Consider the following 12,018-nt stretch of genomic DNA (forward strand, 5'->3'; position numbering starts at 1 on the left):
AATATTTCAGAATAAGAATTTACTGCTGAATGCATAGCTCAGGTATACACATATACCCAAGGATATTTATTCTGGGTTCATTGATTTGTGCTAAACTAACTAAATCTCATGAGTAAAATTCATTAGGTACTTCCACTGTTTGATTGATGATGACACACCATGCCAATGAACTCAAAGGCAATTTCTGACTCCCACTGATAAAGATTCAAGAATCCGAGCCCCAAGGCAAAGCACCAGTACTTTTTCCTATAATCGGATTACAGCAGGCACCCAACTCCAGGGCAGGGATCTAGTCATTCTGGAGCCACCAGCACCAACCACGATGTCTGCCACTCAGGGCAGGGGCTGAAACAGCATGTGACCATCAGACAGAAAGCAACACCTTAGCGCCAGCAAGGGGACTCCAGTACCTCTGCTGAAATCTTTGGGATCCAGCGACAGACTGTAGCCGGGCAGCGTTTCCAGGAGGAGTTTGTAGCAGGCCCTCCACCCAGGCTCCGCGATGCTTGGGGCCACGCACTGCATGGCGGCCACGCGCTTGAAGAACGCAGACTTGCGATGGAAGCCGATCAGCTCATAGAGCTCGGAGAGGATGCTGTAGCGCTGAATTTTCTCTTCCTCAGAAAGCTGAAGCACAGAGAGAAAGTAAAAAGCTTTTGAAAGAAACGTATAAGTGAAAAAAGAAGCACACATTAAAAATGTCTCTTCATAAAACAAAGACCTGAGGAGAATCGAGGAGAATCAAGGAGAGGGAAAGCCTGGTGAGCAGCGCATGGCGCAGGCCCCAGGTGGCTTCAGACCTTCCCCAGCCACAGCTGCAGGTGCAGCCCATCTTCCTGCTGATAAAGCCCAGATTCTCTGCTACAAAGGTACCTGCTACAAATCTGAGACCTCTACTTTAAGTTCCTTCACAAAAGAAAAGAAAAGGAACAAGAGTTCATCTACACAACAGGATTTTATCAAGGTCTCTCATCAAACACAAAAATTCTTAAAACACAAGAAGACACAGAATCATGTAACTGGGTAATGAATTATTAACAATACCACTGATATCAGACTTAAGACTTCAGGGTTTACAAAAGTTTTCTTTCATCCAAGACCCAACTGAATCCTCCCAACAACCCTGTAGTGTAGCAATCATAACTTCTGTTTCTTTTCTTTTTTTTTTGAGACGGAGTCTCACTCTGTCACTCAGGCTGGAGTGCAGTGGTACGATCTTGGCTCACTGCAACCTCCACCTCCCGGGTTCAAGAGATTCTCCTGCCTCATCCTCCAGTGTAGCTGAGATTACAAGCACCCACCCCCATGCTGGCTAATTTTTGTACTTTCAGTAGAGACGGGATTTCACCATGTTAACCAGGCTGGTCTCGAACTCCTGACCTCAGGTGATCTGCCTGCCTCAGTCTCCCAAAGTGCTGGGATTACAGGTGTGAGCCACCACGCCCAGCCAACAACTTCTGTTTCTTCAGCACCTACTGTATGGCAGCAGACTTAACGTACCTGATTTACTCAATACAAGCATCCTGTGAGCTGGCAAATAAGGACATTAACAGCTCAGGGACACATTAATCACCTGTGCAAAATCACACAGCCAAGAAGTATCAGGGACAAGACCTGACTCTGGGCCTGGGCCCTGCCCACTGCACAGCGCCTTCAGAGAAGAAGGAAGGCAGAGCCCACTCTGCTGCTCCAGGAGCACTGTTAAGGAAGCGCTTCTCTCCCTCCTCTGCCCTGGACGATGAATGTTTCCCTGATGTTTCTGTGAGTACAGAGCCTTAGCTTGAACGCCCTTCCAACTTGGGCCTCCAAACCCTCCCTCCATCCCCTCTCCTCCGCGCTCACTGCCATGGCCTCGATGGGGCCCTCGTCAGCCCTCATCTGGAAGAGGAATCGGCATTGTCTTCCTACCACCTCTCGACCTTCCTTCACCTGTCCACACACCCCTGCCAGACTTAGGTTCCTGAGACATGGCTCAGAGCCCATCACCCGAGCCACGGTTTGAATGTTTGTGCCTCCCCAAAATTCACATGTTGAAAGCCTAGCCCCCAAGGTGATGGAATTAGGAGGTGGGGACTTTAAAAAGTGATTGGGTCAGGGGGTGAAGCACTCACAAATGGAATTAGTGCCCTTATAAGAAGAGACCCTAAAGAGCTAGCTCACCTGTTGCACCATGTGAGAACACAGAGAAAAGACGGCGGTCTATGAACAAGCAAGTGGGCCCTCCCCAGACACCAAACATGCTGGCACCTGGATCATGGACTTCTAGCCTCTAGAACTGTGCACAATACATTTCTATTGTTTATCAGCCACCCAGTCTGTGGCATTTTGTGACAGCAGCCTCACCGGACTAAGACAATCCCCATCTTGAAACCACTAGACCCCTTCAGGACTGTAAAATGGAGCCCAAATGCCTTCACGGGCATGCCAGGCCCTCCTCAGCCCCAACCTGCTCTGGAAATTCGAGGCCCCACTGCCTACCTATGACCTCACCAGACTGAACAACTTTAACTCATTTGTTTTCTCATTCTGTCAACACATATTTACTGAACCCCTACTCTGGTGCCAGCCACTCTTGTGGCAGAGGATACAGCAGTGAGCAAAACAAGCTAAGACTCCTACCCCTGGGGGCCTCCATGCTAATGACAGGCTAGTCCCCTGGCTTAGAATCAGTGGGGAGGATGACAATAAATCAATGAAAAAATAAACAAAATAGCTGCTCTAAGTCCAATGAAATACTCTTTGACATAGAATCATGGGTGGAAGCGTATGAGGCAGGCTGTACTAGGTGACGCCGCCGGGGCACACAGGCTCTCTGCTCCTGCAATGCCTCCACAGCCACATCTGGCTCTCCCTTTGGACACTCGGTTCCAATGCCACCCTCTCCAAGAAGCTGGTCCTCATGCCCTTCAGCGGGAAGCTGCTGCTTCTTTCCCTAAATTCTCCTAACCATGCTGGACTCCATAATGTCCTTTCTCTGTGTCTCCCACACAATTTACCTACATATCGGATCTCTGCCAGCCCCACTTTTCCTACAGTGAAAGGTCATGCCGACGCCGACGATGTGTGAGAATCCCTGTTGCTCCACCTGCTCACCAGCATATGAGGATATCACCTGCTCACCAGCATATGAGGATATCACCTGCTCACCAGCATATGAGGATATCAGTCTTTTTTATTTTAGACGTTGTGGTGGCTTTAACTTCCATTTCCCTGAAAACTAATGATGTTGAACCTTTTTCATATGATCACTGGCCACTGGTATATCTTCCTTTGTGAAGCGCTTGTTCAAATCTTCTGACAGTTTTTAAAATTAGATCGTTTGTTTTATTACTGAGTCGTACGAGTTCTGTATATATTCTGAATGCAAGTCCTTAGTTATATGTGTTTTGCAAATATTTCCTCCCGGTCTGTTGCCGATTTATTTCCCTAAGGGAGTGTTCATAAGCAAAAGCATTTCTCTGTGATGTAGCTCAATCTATCAGCTTTTTCTTCTATGGTTAGTGCCTTCTATGTCCTCATCTGAGAAAAATCTTTGCCCGAGGTCACAAAGATATCCTATGTTTTCATCTAGAAGTTGTTGTCTAGGTCTATGGTCCGTGAATATTCAAATTTGAGTAGGACATGGCCTGTCCCTTTCCAGGAGTGTGCAGTACAGCAGCGAACAGAAGCCCCAGTGCTGGAGGACAGCAGCCAGGGACGGGGTGGAAGAGGACTGTAAAGAGGAGGCAGGGGTTGGCCGGGCGCAGTGGCGCACACCTGTAATCCCAGCACTTTGGGAGGCCGAGGCAGGCAGATCACCTGAGGTTGGGAGTTCGAGACCAGCCTGACCAACATGGAGAAACCCCGTCTCTACTAAAAAATACAAAATTAGCCAGGCGTGGTGGTGCATACCTGTAATCCCAGCTACTTGAGAGGCTGAAGCAGAAGAATTGCTTGAACCCAGGAGGCGGAGGTTGCAGTGAGCCAAGATTGTGCCATTACACTCCAGCCTGGGCAACAAGAGTGAAACTCCATGTCAAAAAAAAAAAGAAAAGAAAAGAAAAAAAGAAAAAGAAGAGGTGGGGGTACTTAACGCCTTCATCACAAATCTGGAAATGCCCAGACCTTCAGCTGCACCCACTATGTGCCAGACATGATCAAAGATGTTGGGGCAGAGAAGGGGGCAGAGAAGACGAATACTGATCTTAGCCAGTGCCTGTAAAGAGGTCACCATCTAAAATAAAGGTGACAGCCGGGGAAGGTCACATGCCTTGGCCACCAATGCGTTAGAACTCCCATTGATTCTTTCATGGAACCTATCTAAGATGAAAGGTTGTAAATAATACTATGATCAGTAATAATATTACTTCATTCCTCTTATCATTTCAGTGTAATAAGAAGTCAAATGATAAATACTACATTGCAAATGGAATTGACATCACTTTAAAGCCCTAAAACGGTTCCTTAATGGGAAAAGCTCGAGCGCAACTGCTTTTGGGCACTAGGCAGACAATTGACTGAGAAGCCATGAGCCCAGAGAGCCTCAGGACAAAGCCATGTTTGGTCGACACAGGCACCTATGGCACAAGGAGCCGGGGAGTACAAAATGGTCCCTGGCAAAGCTAGGCCAAGATCCTCAGGAAATCTTGAAATGAGATGAAATCCCCAAACTCATTTCCAACCTGCTGCTCTTTTAGGGCATATTAATCAGCACATCTTTGTTCTAATCTTTCAATAGGCTGCACAGTCACGAAGTCCAAGTTCAGGGCCCAGATGTTTATGTGAGGTTCCAACGAAAGTGGCTCCAAGACTACTCAAGACAAGGAGCTTTATTCACAAGGCAGACTCTGAGGGATCCAAATATTAACTCACCATTCCATTTCCAAGTAGAAAGTAAGTTTAGACCTGCTTTATTCTGTTAATAAGAAATAAAGTGACAAGATCAGAGGGAAACTCCAGACACAGGACTTGTCTCTGGCAGGATGGAGAGGGAGGAATACAGCCTGGAGCTGTAAAGTCCTGAGTTCCAGGGCCACATCTGCATATCCCTAAGAAACAGGGATCATCAAATCTAATTACGATTGTCAAAAAGACTCAATGAAATAATGCAAACACTGAGCATAAGCCTAAAACTCTCAGTGAGTGTTCAAGAAACAGAAATATCACTGTTAGTTAATGCCTTTGACACCACAAGTTCTAACCCCAAGTTAACCAGCCACTGATGCTCTAGAAAATGCCTTAACCCTCATCAGCCTTCTCAAACGTGGGCACTTGCAGTGATCAGAAGAACAAGTCAGTGACAGATGTGTAGGGGCAGCCTGGTGGCCGCACTCAACTAAATGATGACCGTGGGAGAATGCCGGATGGGAAACAGCAGGCCCCACACATTCCCAGGTTTGAAAACACACTCTGCTCCTCTCTCCGGCTATTTCCAGCCATAATTACATGGAGAGAAAATACATCTTCAAAATTATACAAACTTTCCATATATGTCTATCAAAAAAGTTTGTTAAAAACATAACCTACTTTCTCATATCCCGGAGTAGGGGTATGAGGCATGCACCAAGGATTTTCCTTTATAAAGCATCTGTCTAAAGTAATTGGATCCATTTTCAGTTTTAATCATTCAAAAGTAAGAATGAAAACAAAGCAAAACAAAACAAAAACTTCAATAAGACCTGGTCCCTCAAAACTTCATGAAGTAGTAGAGGAGATAGGTCCATAAAGAATCACAGTGTTGGAGGCCGGGCGCGGTGGCTCACGCCTGTAATCCTAGCACTTTGGGAGGATGAGGTGGGCAGATCACAAGGTCAGGAGATCAGGATCATCCTGGCCAACACAGTGAAACCCCGTCTCTACTAAAAATACAAAAAATTAGCCAGGCGTGGTGGCAGGCACCTGTAGTCCCAGCTACTTGGGAGGCTGAGGCAGGAGAATGGCGTGAACTTGGGAGACGGAACTTGCAGTGAGCCGGGATTGCGCCACTGCACTCTAGCCTGGGCACAGAGCAAGACTCCATCTAAAAAAAAAAAAAAAAAAAAAAAAAGAATCACAGTGTTGAGGCCAGGCAACGTGGCTCATGCCGATAATCTCAGCACTTTGGGAGGCTAAGGCAGGCAGATTACCTGAGGTCAGGAGTTCGAGACCAGCCTGGCCAACATAGTGAAACCCCATCTCAACTAAAAATATAAAAATTAGCCGGGCGTGATGGTGGGTGCCTATAGTCCCAGCTACTCAGGAGGCTGAGGCAGGAGAATCACTTGAACCTGGGAGGTGGAAGTTAGCAGTGAACCGAGATCGCGCCACTGCACTTCAGCACAACAAGAGCGAGGCTCCATCTCAAAAAAAAAAAAAAAAAAATCACAGTGTTGGGAAGAAGATGGATGGAGAGATGGCTGAAACAGGGATGCTGTGCCCTATGCCTTGGACAGATACCTGGAAGGTTCCTAGACTACCAGGTATACCCACCACATGCTAGAGGAAGGACACTTTGTAAACAGTCAGTGCCCTTGTTGAGTGCACCATCCAAAAGAGATGGCCAAGCAAAGTCCGCGCTTGACCCCTGATCACCTCAGTTCCAGCCTTTGATTCATTCTTGGATAACCTGAAAAACCCACTCCTTTGGCTTCAAGAAATACTGCCTATTTTACCATCTTTGGGTTTAGTGAGCAAGCGAGTTCATGTGTACTTTAAAGATGATTTGAACTCTGACTACAGCTTTTCTCCACATTCATCTTTCCATACCAGAGTTCTCAGTTTCTTTTTTTTTTCTTCTCTTTTTTTGAGACAGAATTTCACCCTTGTGGCCCAGGCTGGAGCGCAGTGGCGTAATCTCGGCTTACTGCAACCTCTGCCTCCCAGGTTCAAACAATTCTCCCGCCTCAGCCTCCTCAGGAGCTGTGATTACAGGTGCCCGACGCCACACCCGGCTACTTTTTGTATTTTTAGTAGAGACAGGGTTTCGTCATGTTGGCCAAGCTGGTCTCAAACTCCTGACCTCAGGTGATCCGCCTCAGCCTCCCAAAGTGCTGGGATTACAGGCATGAGCCACTGCACCCAGCCAAGTTCTGAGTTTCTTTAAGTCTGTTCTCCATAAAATCTAGTCCCTCCAATGACAACTCATGCAGCCTGAAATTAAAAGCCAATTAAACAAGACCATACACAGCTAAAACGTCCCCCACCCCCCATCACTCCTTTCCTAAACTCCTCTCCTGCCTGTCCGAAATAGACTAATGCCTTCCGCACTACACTACAAAACACTAATGATGTGTTGTCAGATTAGATGGACACGGTGGTGCACACCTGTAATCCCAGCTACTTGGGAAGCTGAGGCAGGTGAATCGCTTGAACCCGGGGGGCAGAGGTTGCAGTGAGCCACGATCACGCCACTGCACTCCAGCATGAGTGACAGAGCAAGACTGTCTCAAAAAAAAAAAATACTTTGGGATACTTAAATGAGACCTTGGGAGAGAGGCAAAGGCAGTGTATTTGGGGTCTAACATCTCAATCCAGAGCTTCCGTGAACCTTTTTCATGTTTTCTGTTCACTGATTCATTCAGAACGTAGCTTCTCACTCCAGAAGGACTTATGTTTTTCTGCCAGGAGTTTGTGGTCACTCTTATACCAGGACAACTTTAAACTAAACCCTCTTTGGATTGGTTTTGTTTCCTTCTGTAATGCTTAATACTAAGCGTCAACTTGATGGGACTGAAGGATGCAAAGTATTGATCCTGGGTGTGTCTGGGAGGGTGCTGCCAAAGGAGATTAACATTTGACTCGGTGGGCTGGGAGAGGCAGACCCACACTTCATCTGCTGCCAGCGCAGCTAAGAATATAAGCAGGCAGAAAATATGAAAAGACGAGGCTGGCCTAGCCTCCCAGCCTACATCTTTCTCCCATGCTAGATGCTTCCCCAACTAGAACATTGGACTCCAAGTTCTTCATTTTTGAGACTCGGACTGGCTCTCCTTGCTCCTCAGCTTGCAGACGGCCTATTGTGGAACCTTGTAATCATGTGAGTTAATACTTAATAAACTCCCCTTTATATATGTATATATCCTATCAGTTCTGTCCCTCTAGAGAACCCTGACTAATACACCTTCCAACAAGATCAAGTTTCCTTATTTTCTTACTTTAAGGACTGAGGTATTTTCTATTTCATTCTTTTGCTAAACGTGTCGTTTAGGGGATCTTGGCTTTACACATGGGTCTGCCATCCAACTCCCAAGTCTGGGCAGGTCTAAGGTTTATTTTCTATCCCTCCTATGTGAGCACTGAAAACTGTTACCACAGCTAGGCAGGGCATTCTCTGGCTTCCAAGGCCTACTGACTTTCAGAATTCCTGCTTTTGGGAAAAGGATTTCCTTTTCCTTTCTTAACAATGAGCTTTGCATTTTGAAAGATGTTGGGGATGGGGATGGGGGGATTTTTATCTCTTAATCAGAATTTTAAGGAACTTGTGCTGAGAGTTTTTGGACCACTATATTGTCAAAACAAAAATCACTAAGTATTTTCCAAACTTAAGTATTATTTGAAATTTTTCTTTTCTTTCTTTTTAACTATTAACAGACTTTTTTTTTTTTTCATTAAAAAACATTGCTCAGTCCATGGCCCAGCCTGGTAACTGGGGCCACAGGGCCTGCCCGGTGCTGGTTTTTACCAGGGCAGCCTGGTGCTGGTGTCCGAGGCAGGCCTGGCACTCACGTTGCTCTCCTTTCCCTAGTGGAGGTCATCTCCCTCCATGCTGTGCTGCCTGGGGCCGGAGGAGGCTGGTGCAAGGCTGTCCTTCCCATCCTCTTCCATGCACCTTTTCTTATTTATGTGCGACCGTGGGTGTAGCTGTGGTCTCCTGCCTGGTTTCCTGGCTCTTGTGAAGGTGTGTGTGTGGATGGTTGTCAGGTTGGTGTTTCTTCAGGTGGGCAAGTGCGGAAAGGTCCTATTCTGCCATCTGGCTCACATTACACCTTCCCTAAGAGAATTAATATCAGCCCCAAATCTTCACAGTATACATGACACATTTAAGGTGAAGCAAACATGCAGGAAAGAAATGCTAGGATAAATCACTTGTCCCCATATATTGTTTGCCTTATAAAAGAATTATTTATTGCAATTAAATTTGCATAAAAAGAAAAAAATTAAGCCAGCAACTAGACTGAAGCCTTGAAGGGACATACAAAATTAAGAAAGGGATGAAGCCAAAAAATGAGAGGACAATCTATACGCTTAATAAAACCCCTATCCTACAGATGAAATTACCGATTCCTACAACACCTTATCTAAATATGACAGTAATGTAAGATGCCTTTCTTATTAGGAAACAGCCAAGATAAAAAATAATCAATTAAAACAAAAAATTAAATTCTAAGTTTTGCCTGCCAACTAAATTTGTCTCCTTCCTGGAAAAAAGGAAGATTTACTGGTTCTTTATTGTAGGTATCTCGTGTTCATGGATTGGAAGACAATATTGCTAAGATGGTAAAACACCTCCAATGGATCTACAGACTCAATGCGATCCCTATCAAAATCCCAGCTGACTTATTTGGAGAAATTGACAAGCTTATGCCAAAATTCACATAGAAGTACAAGGAACCCAGAATAGCCAGAACCATCTTCAAAAAGAACGAAGTTGGAGGAGACACACTTCCCAGCTTCAAAATTTACTACAAAGCTATAATAACCAAGATAGTGTGGTACTGGCATAAGTACCACATAAGATCAATGGAATAGAAAAAAAATTATGATCAACTAATTTTCCACAAGAGTGCCAATGGGGAAAGAATTGTCTTTACAACAAATGCTGCTTGGACAACTGGATATTCATATGCAAACAAATAAAGTTAGCCCTGGCATGGCGGCTCACGGCTGTAATCCCAGCGCTTTGGGAGGCCGGGGTGGGTGGATCGCCTGAGGTCAGGAGTTCAAGACCAGCCTGGCCAACACAGTGAAACCCTGTCTCTACTAAACATAGAAAAAATTAGCCAGGCCTTGTGGCAGGTGCCTGTAATCCCAACTACTCAGGAGACTGAGGCAGGAGAATCACTTGAACCCGGGAGGCGGGGGCTACAGTGAGCCAAGATCGTGCCACTGTACTCCAGCCTGGGTGACAAAGAGAGACTCTGTCTCAAAAAAAAAAAAAAAAAAAAAAAAAGAATAAATTGGACCCCCTAACTCACATGATGAACAAAAATTAACTCAAAATGGGTCACAGACCTAAATGCAAAAACTAACCCTATAAAGTTCCTAAAAGAAAACAAGAAATCTTAATGACCTCGGGTTAGCAATCTTTTAAATATATAACACCAAAAACACGTGAAGAAAAAATAAATAAATTAGACTTCACCAAAATTAAAAACTTTTGTGCTGCCAAGGACACCATCAAGAAAGTGAAATGGGCCGGGCATGGTGGTTCATGCCTGTAATCTTAGCAACCTGGGAGGCCGAGGCAGGTGGATCACTTGAGGCGAGGAGTTCAATACCAGCCTGGCCAACATTATGAAACCCTGTCTTTACTAAAAATACAAAAATTAGCCATGTGTGGTGGTGTATGCCTGTAATCCCAGCTACTTGGGAGGCTGAGGCAGGAGAATTGCTTGAACCCGGGAGGCGGAGGTTGCAGTGAGCTGAGACTGTGCCACTGCACTCAAGCTTGGGCAACAGAGCCAAACTCCATCTCAAAAAAAAAAAAAAAAGAAGAAGAAAAGAAAAAGAAAGAAAGTGAAATGACAATAACAAAATGGGAGAGAAATTCTGCAAAGCATGGATCTGGTAAGGGACTAGTATCCAGAATATATAATGAACTCTTACAGCTAAATAACAAAAAGAAAGTAAACCCCAATTTAAAACTTGACAAAGAGGACCAGGCGCAGTGGCTCGCGCCTGTAATTCCAGCACTTTGGGAGGCCAAGGTGGGCGGATCATGAGGTCAGGAGATCGAGTCCATCTTGGCCAACATGGTGAAACCCCATCTCTATTAAAAGTGCAAAAAAATTAGCTGGGTGTGGTGGCATGCGCCTGTAGTCCCAGCTACTCAGGAGGCTGAGGCAGGAGAATCACTTGAACCCAGGAGGCGGAGGCTGCAGTGAGTCGAGATTGTGCCACTGCACTCCAGCCTGGACAACAGAGTGAGACTCTGTCTCAAAAAAAAAAAAAAAAAAAAAAAAGCACATGGGAAAAATGCTCAACAGCATCAGCCATGAGGGAAATGTAAATCAAAACCAAAATGAGACATCACTTCACACCCACTAGAATGGCTCTCATCAAAAGATGGACAATAACAAGTGTTAATGAGGATATAGAGAAACTGGAACCTTCAGACATTGCTGGTAGAAATGTAAAATGGTGCAGCTGCTTTGGAAAAGTTTCACAGTTCCTCAAAAAGTTAAACCCAGCAATTTCACTGCTAAGTATATACCCAAGAGAACTGAAAATATGTGTTCCCACAAACACTTGTACATTCCCACAAAACTTTGTTCCCACAAAATACATGTACATGAGTGTTCATTGCAGCATTATTCTTAATACCCAAAGGGTGGAAACAACCTAAAGTCCATCAACCAATGCATGGATAAATAAAACATGGTATCTCCATATAGCGGATACTAAGTGGCCATAAGAAGGAATGAAGTGGCGGTTCCAAGATGGCCGAATAGGAACAGCTCCAGTCTACAGCTCCCAGCGTGAGCGACACAGAAGATGAGTGATTTCTGCATTTCCAACTGAGGTACCGGGTTCATTTCACTGGGGCTTGTTGGACAGTGGGTGCAGGACAGTGGGTGCAGTGCATCGAGCATGGGCCGAAGCAGGATGAGGCATCGCCTCACCCAGGAAGCGCAAAGGGTCAGGGAATTCCCTTTCCTAGCCAAGCAAAGCTGTGACAGATGACACCTGGAAAATCGGGTCACTCCCACCCTAACACTGTGCTTTTCCAATGGTCTTAGCAAACGGCACACCAGGAGATTATATCCCGCGCATGGCTGGGAGGGTCCCACGCCCGGCTGGGAGGGTCCCACGCCCACGGAGCCTCGCTCATTGCTAGCACAG

General features: G+C 45.6%; 1 protein-coding gene across 16 annotated transcripts in view; it reads right to left on the bottom strand.

Annotated features, from left to right (window-relative positions):
* The window catches only part of TRAPPC9 (trafficking protein particle complex subunit 9), a 730,855-nt gene that overhangs the window by 642,829 nt on the left and 76,008 nt on the right, over positions 1–12,018 (bottom strand). For all 16 annotated transcript variants that reach the window (NR_164662.1, XM_011517326.3, NM_031466.8 and 13 more), the window contains one exon: positions 411–627. Coding sequence is in view for 15 of the 16 variants with exons in the window: in XM_011517326.3 (XP_011515628.1) it covers positions 411–627 (217 nt within the window). In the remaining variant the exon portion in view is untranslated. The remainder of the gene's footprint in view (positions 1–410; positions 628–12,018) is intronic.

This window comes from Homo sapiens, chromosome 8 (genome assembly GCF_000001405.40).
Source record: "Homo sapiens chromosome 8, GRCh38.p14 Primary Assembly".
In the NCBI taxonomy this organism is placed as follows: Eukaryota; Metazoa; Chordata; class Mammalia; order Primates; family Hominidae; genus Homo; species Homo sapiens.